General features: G+C 37.2%; 1 long non-coding RNA gene across 6 annotated transcripts in view, besides 1 other annotated feature; it reads left to right on the top strand.

Moving 5' to 3' along the window:
* Window positions 1-13,120, top strand: part of MEF2C-AS1 (MEF2C antisense RNA 1) — a 584,252-nt gene that overhangs the window by 364,372 nt on the left and 206,760 nt on the right. The window lies entirely within an intron of this gene.
* Window positions 4,882-6,982: an enhancer, noted in NCBI's record as "VISTA enhancer hs503". NCBI's record gives its function as "enhancer in: heart[8/8]" and the evidence as "EXISTENCE:transgenic organism evidence [ECO:0001131][PMID:17130149]".

A 13,120-nucleotide genomic window follows, 5' to 3' on the forward strand; every position in this document is an offset into this window, starting at 1 on the left:
AAAGTGCAACCGAACATGTGGAACAGGAGAAGAAAAACAGATATTGATGAACAGCATTGAAGACCGACACAGTTCCCAATATTTATTTTTATCATTTTTCTTCTGTAGACCAATGCTCATGAAACTAAAAATATTCTTCATTCTCTTCTATTCTTGTTCAGATCCTGCTTACTCTTAATTCCCAGCACAGCTATCACATCTTCAGTGAATTATTTCCTAATCATCCCAGACAGACATATTCTCCCTCTCCTCTAATTTCTCATAGTCCTTTATTTTTGAGATAATCATTGTTATCCTGTGGTTATGCATTATTTCCTAGAAGTCTGGATACTTGATTTTATACAAAAAACCTTATGTAGTCAAGGGTCAATAAAACCCTTGACGACATAATTTTTTCAGTGAATACATAATTCCCATAAATTGAATCAGAGTGTATTCTGATGACTTAGAGATTCATTTCTTTTGAAAGACTGACTTCTTCTATTACCTATTTATAGGGGAGATGTTTATTCCTCATTATATATAAGGTTGGATACTATATATATGTGTATATGTATGCATACACACATATACACACACATATAATCATTGTATATCTACATGTATGATATATGTATATTTATATATCTTATGTATATATACATATAGTTAGCAGCTCCTAGCTACTATGGTATAAATATAGAGTAAATTAATTATGAATCTGCCTTATTCTCACTCTTCTCACTCTGAAATTGCTGGCAGTGCTATTATAACTCTTTTCAGTCTTCCTTTTCGATAAATGGTTTATTTGACCATTGCCCTTTGGTAGCAATAAGATAGACAGTCTAAGGGCTCTTTCCTGTGTGAAATACTTTAAGGAATGTCCATAAGGGTAAAACACAAGTGACAAGATAAAATTAAAGTAGTGAAATCCTGTCCTTCTGTCCTTCTTCCTTCCTTTCTCCTTTCTTTATCAAAGATTTATTGGATCTTTGATTTATCTGTATATGATACTGTGATAAGATACAATATTGGAATAGACACAGACCCTGTCTTGGGGGAATGTTACAGTCCAGAAGGAGTAATAACATACAACCTCCCTGCAGTAACTTGACTTGAAATTACTGTTTTCCCAACTATACACCTGGCCAATGGTTGCTCAAGCTTTAAATCTCAGATTAGGTGTTCTATCCTCTGGAAAGCCTTCCTTGATTTCCCAAGTTTGCTCTAGCACTTTAATAGTGTTTTGGATGGATTAATTAATTATTTCTGAGGAAAGAGCTCAGGGAAGTTTTAACAGAGGAAATGATTGAAAAAAAAGTCTGAAAAATGAATAGAAGTTTGCCAAGAAAAGCAAGAAGGGAGAAAATTGTCCTTATCCAAAGGTGGCAATGATACGTTGAGCACAGGAATCTATGAGCAGATTTCTATTACTGGAGCTTAAATTGTAAAAACTGTGGGAAAAGAAGTTGGGAGAGATGCAGGAAGCTGATTCTGAATGGCTCATTTGCCATGCTATGGGGAACCTCTAACGAAATTCAATAAGTGAAGTGGCAGGGCCAGATTTACTTTTTAGAAATTATACTATTGATAAAGTATGCAAAGTAAACTTGAAGACAGGGGAACTATTATAAGACATTCCCAAGGATGAGATAATTAGATTTCAAAGTAACATGATGGAAGGGGGTTCAGAAGAAGAAAATAGACATTTGGGAGAATAAATAGAAAATATGCGGTAACAGCCTGCTTGTAGTAGGCAAAGGAGAATAAGAAATTAAGAATGTTATTTTGTTTTCTGACTTGCACAATTGAATGGCTAAAGATCACAGATGAAGAAAGTACAGAAGAAAAAGTTGGTTTTGAGGTTGAATTAGTTAAATTGGGAACCTCAATTTTCTCTCTTGAGAAGGAGGAGTTGACATTCACTGCAAAGAATAAAAGCATAGGAGTTGGCTAGGGGTTTTGAGTGGCATGACACATGTTTTGAATTATAAGGGAAACGAGAGTGGGAACTGACAGAGGACAAGTAAACCTTTATGAGCAATTGAAAGAGGCAAGCTGAAGTTAGAGGGTATAAAAATTTAGTAGTCCCAGTCTATAAGTTTGTATTACTATTGTCAACCAAACTCAGAGGTGAGTACAGGGATGGACAATTTGCATGATTAATCCAGGGCTAAAAATATGTGACAAAATGATGTAGTTGCGAAGGAGTCAAGGGTGGTTGTGAGCTTCCATAAGGAAGAAAATAAAGCAATTAAGGAATAGGGTGGACTCAGGAGGGGTTCTAAAGATTTTATAAGAGGGGTGTCCAATCTTTTGGCTTCCCTAGGCCACATTGGAAGAATTGTCTTGGGTCACACATAAAATACACTATCACAAATGATAGTTGGTGAACTAAAAAAAAAAGCAGTCACAAAAACATCTCATTATGTTTTAAGAAAGTTTATGAATTTATGCTGGGCCACATTCAAAGCCATCCTGGGCCACATGTGGCCCACGGGTTGGACAAGCTTGCTCTACAACATGGAATGGCATGTATAAAGAAAGTGGTTCCAGAAGGGAAGCAGAAAGGTAAGGTGTGATCAGAGAGCAGGAGAGCAGAATTTCTGATTTCCAAAGTAGGGAGGAGTTTTGGTTCCTGAGAAGGTCTAGGAGGAGACATGAACAAGGGTTAAGGCGGAAGAGTGAAGGTGAGCCCTCTAGAATTGAAGGGATGGTTGACAGCTATGAAAGGATGGTGAGGAGTTCTTTCATATGGACATTGAAATTGTTCAGGATAATAAAGAGGCATTCAGGCAGAAGAAGCCTGTAATTTGGGTAACCTCCGTGATGAATATGGAGGCTATAACCTGGAAGCCACATGAAGATGACATAAACAAGGAAGGTATGTTTTGTGAACAAGTAAATTGACTTTGGTGTAGAAGGATTTTTTTATTTTTATTTTTGTATTATAGTGTAAGCATAAAATGGTCCCTTAGGAGAAACCTGAAATCCCTTGAACAGAAGGTCAAAATGAGGAGGGGGTGAAGTGGGGGCAGTTTATCATGCTCCCATTTGCACGGTACTGAAGTGTAAAAGAATGAAAGACCTTTACTAAAAAAATGCTGCAAAGAAAGTTCTGCCTTTGGGGAAAAGCCAAATTTGAATTGGAGCGAGCAATTGGAGGGGACATTGTTCTGTAAAGAGGACTAAGGATGTAATGTTTATGTCCTGAGATTAGTTCAAAAAGGAGAGGATCAAGAAGGAGACAAGAGAACAGGGTAGATGTTACATAAGCGGCCAAAGATGGGTTCTGCGTATCTCATACTGTTCCCTTATTTACAGCTGGAGAGGACCACTAGCCCAAAGACTGCTAGCACGAAATTCAAATTCCTACACACCTAAGTGATTTAAATATAGCTCAAAGAAGACTATGTTTAGCCATTTAGAACTTCCCTACTTTACATATTCCATAAATTTTTACCTGGGTGATGGTAGTCAATTATAAGCTTGGGTGGCATGAATGTAATTGACCTTAAACATCCAAACTTTAGGGCCCAGTTATCCTGATGCTAGAACCAGCTGAGACCATTAGTTGTAAAACATAAGTAGAAATCTACAGGGCCTTCTTCTTTACTAGATGTAATAGACTATGAGTACCAAATTAATATAACTAAGGAAATATAATGACAAAAACAAGGATATGTTAACTCTTCTTAGAGAAATGAAAGATAATCATGGGGGAAAAGATTGCAATTAACACTATATCCTTTAGCTAAATTGATATGTTTCTAATTTTTTCAAGTAAATTTATGTGTTTCAATATATTACATTTTACGAACAATCTGTTTAGACTTGTATATGCCCTAGAGAAAACTGTATAATTTGGGGAGTCCTAAAGGGTATCCTTTTGTAAAACAGAACTTATGTATTGTAGTTGTTCAAATCAAGTCACATATGAAAGTTTTAAAATAATACATGGAAATCAAGTGCTAATGCAGTGATAGGAAAAGTGCATTCATATATGGATTTAGATCAAATAACCAATTTGACCCTTTGTACAAATGTTTGTTTAACTATTGTGGTTCTCTTTGAAAGGATTTCCTTCTCCTCCAAACTTTCAACATGTGTAGTTGAGTATGTCTGGGACTCAGAATTGTATTTAGAAATAGAATCTATAAAATTAGGTTTTTCTAAGGAATTTAGGTTGAAGTTTGTGTATATGTTTGCATGTATGTGTACCTGTAGGTGTGTTTGTATTGTGTTCATGAAAATGTGTGAGTGAGTGTGCATTTGTGGTGGGTAAATATGTGTGTCAAGGGGGCATTATAAAGATATTTTCAGATGCATTTAAGATAAGAAGGAAGAGCTAGAATTCTCAGGGCTGGAATTCACTCTCATGAGACTCACAGCCTGATTAATGTCCTCTTATACTGCAAGGGTTCCAGTTATTTTACAATCTGTATTGGCTGTGTTTCTTTTGAGTTTGAAACTTCTATTGCAAATAGAGGACAGCGAGACAATCTGACCCAATAGGTGGGGCAAATAGGCTTTAAATCATATGTATTCTCAAGATAGTCAACAAGTCATTTTGAGATGACAGATGAGCAGACAAAGCTTTTGTGTTTACCAGGTGGAGGTGAATTAAGCTATGGCAAGAAGGAACAAGATGGAGAGCAGCAGTGCAGGGTCAGGAAGTATTTCCCAGCTTCATTTTTTAAAGTTTTTAAAGGGCCACCCGAATTTAAATTAAATCTCATAAATCTTGGCATAAAATTATATAATATAACACTAGTCGTTTTAACCAAAATTGGAGTTATTAAGTTATTGTACGATCCTAATCAATACCCTCTGGTTCACTTTGGTAAAACAGCAGCAAAATCATAAATCAAGCTCTTTGCTTTGTATTTTAAATTAAATTGAGAAAATGTGGTTGTGAACTTTCCTAAACTGATGTATTTTGAGAATTTAATTTAAAATTTAAAACTGTTTTAGATCAAAATTTTAATAGGAGAAAAAGCATTTTTTAAAGAAAATATATGCATGGGTCAATGTAAAGTATTCTGTCACACTTTTTGAAAGTTAATTCTTTGTCAGTCATGCACCATTCTTCCTAAGAATAGAATACTAATAATTCTGCCTGCAGAGAATCATGAAGACTTGGTAGTTAATGAAAACTAACCATGGGAAGGAACAAATCCAACACTTTCTGCTATCTAATTATCTCAGCATAATTAACATTTTTCTAGATTTAGTGCCTAAATCCTTTTTTTTCCAAACTTGAATTTCATAGTCTTTTTGATTACACAAATATGATAGTCTATCATATATGTGAACTGGAGAGAGCACATAAGGAATAATTAAATTCACCTGGATTTCTTTGTTTCTTTTTAACTTCATCTCCACCCCCTAAGTTTTAAATGCAAATTTAAAATACTGCCTCTCTGCAGACAATCACACCATCACCATTTCTTCCTTCTCAATAAAATGCAACTTCTAAGATGTGTCTAAATAAAAACAAAGAAATCACACATTTAAAGATAATTAGTGCTTTTGCTTGAGAAAGATTTAGCCATTCTCGAGACATGTTTCTATGTCCATATAAATCAGTGTTAATCATTTGGGTATGTCCAAACACTTGATCGAAGGTTCACATTTTGCCTCTCAAAAGTATTAGTTCATAATTCATTGAAATACTTTTAAGTCTCAGGGAGAAAGAGAGCAAATAGCCTAAGATACTTTCTCCTTGACCACTATTGTAAGTGTGGTTAAAGCCAAAGAAAAGGCCAGTAAATGAGAAAAATGCAAATGTTCATCATATTCCACTGCTGTTTTGACACAGCAATTAGATTTGTGCAGAACAGCAAGATTGTTCCAATTCTATTCTCCCAAACATAAGTCTTAAAAAAAGAGGTTACATTTGTGACTGTAGCTCGTGGAGCATCCAATCTGGCATCCTGAAAATCCATATGTAAGCCACACTTATATCTTAAACCTGTCAAACAAATAAATGTACAGAAGCAGTAATTTATGTACTTTATAGACTGTTTTGCCCTTTTAGAGCAAAAGCCTAATTTTCAAGTGTTGCTATTTTAACTTCTGGCAGTGCCTGGGAGATAACTGAGGTTCAAAATGTGAATTTTACAAGTAAAATGTGATTCAAAAATTGATTTACCCTGTTCTCACTACATGTGAGACAGAGAAGAGAAATGCTGGGTGTTTGTGAGCTTTAGGCAAGGGGAAACATATTGCTAAGTACAGAAGCCACGCAAAACTTTGCGGGTTTTCAGTTTAGAAGTGAACTTGAGCCTTTCCCAGTTCAAGTTCTGTTTAGGGCCGGCAAAACATGACTTTCTGATTCAAAGAAATAAGGCTTAAAAAGGCTTATAAAACAGGCTCACAGGCTTCTTGTACATCAAATAGCTCTTACACAATGGCATTTAGATGATTTAAGTGTAAATGAATCAAAGACATATGGATTGCATTTCCCTTGAAATACGCATGGGTTTTAAAATGAAGGGAAAACACACTTGCCAAAATCCTTTTTGGGTTGTGCTGCATCAAAAACATTTGGAAAATGACTTTAAATGTTTGGAAGAACCCCAGACATCGAGTTCAGCCACCCCTGGAGATTAAATCAGTGTCCTTCATCCAATGATAACTAGTCCCCTGTTTTGCAAAGACATTTCTTAAAAATGTCAAGTCCCAAACCTGACACTCCTGAAAACTGACTTTCTTAATGCTTGAATTCCTAATTCAATGATAGGGTCTTATTATGGAGTCTTCCCCCAGAGATTAGGAATCCATTTTGTGTTAGTTAAGCCACCAGAAGTACATTTCAATTTTACCCAATTTTTCAAGTGTGGTTAAAAATGTAAGTTCTCTCTGTCCTGGAGGTAAAAATTATGTTTCTAGGGAGCTGAAAGGAAATCGAGTTTTCAAGCTGAATGAAAGAACTAAATGATCAGAAGATAAAAATGGAAAACGTGTTTGTTGTAAATGTATTCAGGCAGGAGTTCTGACATCACTTAGCTGTTAGCATATTTATTTAAGAAAAAGAAAAGGAAGAAAGGAAGGAAGGAAAGGAAGAAAGGAAAGAAGGAAGAGAGGGAGGAAAGAAGGAGGGAAAGGAGGAAGAAAGGAAAAATACTGCGTGGTAAAGTGTATTTGGAATAAAAAAAAGATTGAGTGAAATGCAAAAATAAATTGGGTTTAACAGAAATAGGCAGTTTCATGAAATAGCTCAGCAGCAATAAGAACAAAACACCAATTACAACAAATTCAAACAGACTAACACACAGGAAAGTGACATGGTGACATGAGTGAAAAATGGGTTGGCACAAGTGATGAACAAGGTATCAAAAGGAACTAGAGAAGGCATGCTATACTGTTGAAAGAAAATGCATTAAATGTTGAAATCGAGAACAAAGACAAAACAGATGACAATACCTAAACTGAGAGAAGGGCTACAAAGGCACTCAGTAACTGAACTGAGGAGAGTATAAGAAGAGATCATATAAAACAGGTGAAGGGCTGTTATTTAAGTCTGTGCAGTCAAACAGCTTATATTAAAAAGACTAGATCAAATTTTGCATGCAGTTATGATGTGAGAGGAAACAGCTTTCAAAATTGTTTAATGACCTCCTGATAGGAAGGTTAACAGGATTATCACACAGTTCACTGGAGGATGGACAGCAACTCTCAGCATGTCCCTCACTCAACGTGTAATTCCAGTATTCTCCTTTATAGGGAGGTGCAATATCATTGTGCTACTCAAAAGCATTAGTTGAAAAGTCAGGATTCTTTTAATGAGGGAAGTTCAACATAAAAGGGAAATACGGAAGGGAAGAAAATGGGTACTAAAACCTGACCTCTTTTAGCGTAATTCTGCCCAACTAACTGTGGGGGTGTCTGGGAAGGCTGAACCCTCTAGAGATTTTAGTTTGCTCTGGTCTCCTCACATCTGACTGGGCTGCCTGCATCCTAGGTAACTAGTCTGACAGTCTTTGCTTCTGACATGTTACTGCTCCTCTGTTCTGCTCTCCAACCATTTCTTGTTAAAGTGGGGAAATATTCTCCACCTTCTCTTCTGTTATGCAGACCACAAAGCAGTACTGCTTTGTATTGTGAGCGTGCTGTGGAGACTAATGAGAAGGGTCTTTAGGATAGGTTGGCCTCTGCTAGTTGTGGCATTAGTACCAGCCGGGTGTGGGAGAGTGGTGATGGGGAAGGGAAGAAAGCAGTCCAGAAAATACTCTGAGCAATGCTCATTAGTTGCGGAAGAACAAATCATAGTTTTTGGCTTTGGACCACCCATCATTTTTACCCTAGACTTAGATTCTCTGACTCCTGAGAAATTATATTAGTCAGGGTAATTAGTGCCAGGCGCTATAACAAAACAACCTTAAAATCTTAGTGACTTCACCCACTACAGGTTTTTCTTCTGGCAGCTTTCCATTCCGTGATTCTGGAATCCCAATTCTTCCATCTTGTAGTGGAATTATTTTCTAGGGCCTCTGCAGAGTTTTCTGCTGTATCATCTGTATTTAGCTGGCTGGCTAACAAAGAATGAGGAAGATCACATGACACATTTTGTGGCCATGACTGGATGTGGTGAACATTACTCCCAAGACAGGGCCTAACCTTAACTGCAAAGGATGCTGGGAAATGTAGTTTTCCTAAGTGCTCAGGAAGAAAAAGTGTGATTGGTGAATATTTAGCCAGCCTCTGCCATATTCACGAAGGAGATTTTCCATACCCAATGTAAATTAACCCTCAGTGGATCTGTCTTCCCAGCCTTTTCTATATATTCAGATATATCTGAATTCATAAACATTATTTAATGTGGAAACTGAGACAGATTAAAGTATACATAGTTAATAAGTGGCAGACCTGAAATATAATTAAAATTTGCCTGAATCTCAAGTTATTGTTCTGTCTTCAAATTTTATACTTCAGGGAGCGGCATCAGGAACATTAGATTGGGAGGAAGTTGACTCGTTTGCACCCCTGGAGCCCTCTGAGATATGAGACCTTCAGAGGCATCAAAGGTTTGGTTCAGTTCGTACTATAATTAAGGGGAGCTCAGGGTACCTCTCCTGAGGTTACAGAGGAAACTGAGATTGATATTTTCTTGCAGTGGCAAGGAAGTGAAAATCATGGGGAAATAGAGAACACCTCCTCCTCCAAGTCCGATGCAGGAAGAGGGTCATGTTAAATGGCCTCAGAAAATATCTACACATCCTTTTCACCTTTCTTCAGAAGGCTGAGGAAAAAGTTAAGAGAAGGCCATTGAGAAGGAAAGACAAGATATGGCTTGGATTTTAGCATCATGCTTACATTGTAGCTTTTCTTTTTTTGGCAACTGCATGGGTATGGATGTATTTTTAACCTCACAGAGCCTCAGTTTTCTTGTCAGTAAAATGGGGAACGTGAAATGCAAAGTAGTAAGAATTAAATAATTTATACTAGTACTGTGCCTAAAAAATCAGAGGCATTGCAACTAAAGGTTTCTCCATTTTTCTTTTTATTAACACTTTTCTTTCATAAATGCGCCATCAAGGGGAAGCATGATGGTGGAAAGGCAATTCTCCCAGATGCTATGGAAGATACATGAGACAAAATGGTAAATAAATAAATAAATAAATAAATAATCAGTTTCTTCATTTATCCATCCATTCATTCAACAATTCATTCATTCTTTCACACATCTGCCAATATATACTCACTACTGACAAAACATCACAGTGGACATTAGAGAAATCTAAAATGGATAACATGACCCTTGCTCTCAAGATCTGTGTCCTCTAGCGGAGGAGCAGGCATATGCAAAAGTCAAGGAGATTACAAGGTGAAATATGATAAATGACATATTTAAATTAAGTACTGTGGTAGTGCAGAAGAGGGAGACTAGAGCAGGGAATATGAAAAGTTTAAGAGAAGCAGCAGCATTTATGTTGGAACTTGAAGAGTGGTAGTTCTGGGATTTTCTGTTATTAGGAGAAATTTCAGAGGAATAATCTTATTGGCAGGAGGCAAGAGTAAGTCTTTTGAAGTTAGGGTTGCATAGCATGAACACCAGTTTTCTTAGAATGTTTATTACAGATCAATAAAAATGAGTTAATTTTTAAAGATGCTTTTATTCACAGTCATAAAATTATAAAAATTAAAAAATTCTTATAAAACATTTCTTACTTCTTTATACATATTTACCAAAATGTTAATAATAGATACTATTTTAGTTAGTTTGCTTAAGGGCCTGTATTCTTTGGCTGCCATAACAAAATACTGTAGGCTGGGTGGTTTAAATGATGGAAATTTATTTTCTCACAGTTCTGGAGAATAGAAGTCTGAGGTCAGGGTGCCAGCCTGGTCAGGTTCTGGTGAGGGATCTTTTCCTGGCTTGCAAATGGCCACCTTCTCACTGTGTTCTCACATGGCAGACAGCAGGCTGTGGTGTCTCTTTATCTTCTCATAAGGGCACCAGTCCTGTGGGATCAGGGACCTACTTGTATGACCTTATTCAACCTTAATCATCTCCTTAAAGGCCCTGTCTCCAAATATAGTCACATGGCGAGTTAGGGCTTCAACATATGAATGTGGGATGAGGGGGGAACAATTCAGTCCATAGCAGGGGCTGATAGGATTCACCCGAGGTGCTTTCTCTGCCTTGGAAACATAGGTATAATCCCATTTGAGGGCAGATCAGAGAGGTAATAGGAGCAGAATGATTTGCTTTACCCAGTAATGCCTCAGAGTTGTCACAATTAAGCAGCTCAAATAGACAATGTCGGTATGATTTGTATGCTGGTAAGGCAATATCTATTTGAAATAGTAAACCAATTGACCTCTTCTTCACTTTTAGAGAAACCTTTGAAGATTCTCATAAGACTAGATATAAATTTCAGAATTTTCATTGCTAGTTTGCTGGAAAATCCACACAAATTTTTACAGATTGGCAAATATTTTTACAGCTGTGTTGCATTTTGTTTTTTCTTGCAGGTAATAGGTATTTTTCAGCCTACACAATTTAATCATGATTAATGTCATGTTCTCCAAAACAAACATATATGGCTTGTAGCAATAAAAAATAATCACTCTTAGTTGACTAAGGAGTGTGGGGACATCTAAATGTTTGCTAGAAGTTGAGAGTTAATTTCAAGGAGATGCCATCTTTCAAGAGTAACTACCTATTTGGCAAAACTGTTGCCAATAAAATATAATAAGAAGTTCTGATTCTTTTCATGTTTAGCTCACATATCATGACTATAATTCTGCTTCATAATTCACATTCAATTCTCACTTTACTTGTTATGTATTTAATACAGCTACATTGTGCTATAAAAAGAGAATTTGGACAGGATATCTGTTGGTGTTAAACTGCTTGTTTTTGTGTCCCCTCAGTCAGAACCATCCCTGGGGAAATGTTGGCCCTGGGGAAATCACATGGTGCGCTCTTTTTCCTCTACTTTGGCATTTTCATGCAACAGAAAGGATGTTCAACAGAACAGCAGTGACTCTGGAAAGGGAAAAGAAATCACAGATGGGCCAAGTGCAGTTTAGGAGGTGTGTGTGGAAGGAGGAGCAGGGCCAAGACAGCCTTTAGCCCATAAGGGACTTTGTTAGAATTAGAAAAAAAAGTACCACTTCCCCTGGGTGGACACAGCCAACCTCATGCCAGAGTATATGGCTTGGCAAACAGAGTGAACGCTGGACTTCAGCTCCCATTTCCCCCTTCAGGTGGGCAACTGTCTGCAGTGGTTTGGGTCTGGGCCAAGTTGAAGACTAAACGGAGAGATCAGCTCTTAACAGTACCCACTATTATACCTTGCACATATTAAGTAGTTGGAAGATGATGAGTGAATAATTTAATCACAATTATATTTGAACAGTACTCAATTCTTTGTAGAAGACAATATTCCAGAATGAGCTTACAAGCTTAGATTCCAAAGGTTTTCTATTAATATGAAAAAAAGCATTTATGAGCAGTGTGGTCAATTTGTAAAATTTTCCTCTTGAATAAGATGAATGATAGTCTCAGAGAAAAACAAACAAGAATTTGTGTTATTTAGTCCATTTTCTGATCCATCCAGGTAAATTTGAATATGGGATTATCTACGTTTTTGGGTAAAATAAAATGATGTTTCTCTTTATCAAGTCGGTTCAACACACTTTTATGCAACGTCTCCTGAGAGGAGAGTGCTGTGCAAAACCAGAGGCTGATATGATGAGTGATGGACCCTTTGCCTTTAGAGAGTTCCTCTACAACTAAGAGAGGGATTGAAATGTATGCTCAAGGGGCAACACAATGGTTTCTTCTTTAGGTCCAAGACCAGCTACATAATTTTTAGGGCTGCAATGCAAAATAGGATGGGTCCTGGCACTGCGCAGAAGTCAATCTCCCCTTCCCACTGGCTGCTGTCCCTATTTTTGGTGCAAAGATAACCCCCAAGGGATCACAACCTCTGGGCTGGGCCATGCTCAGTTCCTGGATCTAGGGTAGGCAAGAAACACTTTCCCAATCCCTAAACAAAGCCCAGGACTCTGTCAGCCCAAGGGAGAGACAGACATCCACCTACTTACCCTGAGATGCCATAGGCACCAGTATCTCACTCACAGGTCCCATTCCAGCGGAGTCATAACAGATACAATTTTTGAAGTTGGCCTTAAAGATTCATTTCAACAGTTCTAGAAGGAAAAAAAAAAGGCAATATAGGCAGAGATTGCTCCCTGAGGGAAAAGTATAAATGTGAAAATCCAGTCTTGTGTAAGGATTTCTGGTCAACAGAGGGCTCTGCTGATTCAGGGGTGGCTGGAGATAAGTATAGCATGACGTATTTTCATTCAGTAATCATTTATTAAGTGCTGACTAGGTCTCAGGCCATGTGCTAAGTGATGCTGTTATAATGTCAAGAAAAATCAGATGTGTTCTTTACCTTCATGAGTCTTATAAGCTCATGGAACAATTAGGGGAGGTTCTTGAATGTCGTTTACATTCAGGGTTTCTCTGCTGACCTGAGAATCCCTCATGCTAGAAACATTTGTCTTTTGTCAAATGTAGAAGTTGTCAAATATGGGCATCTTTCACCACTGCCATCCCTAAGTTTAAATTATTTCTTTTTCTATATTGCATTTATTACTATGTATTCCTATCACTCTAATG

Source organism: Homo sapiens, chromosome 5 (assembly GCF_000001405.40).
Source record: "Homo sapiens chromosome 5, GRCh38.p14 Primary Assembly".
NCBI lineage: Eukaryota > Metazoa > Chordata > Mammalia > Primates > Hominidae > Homo > Homo sapiens.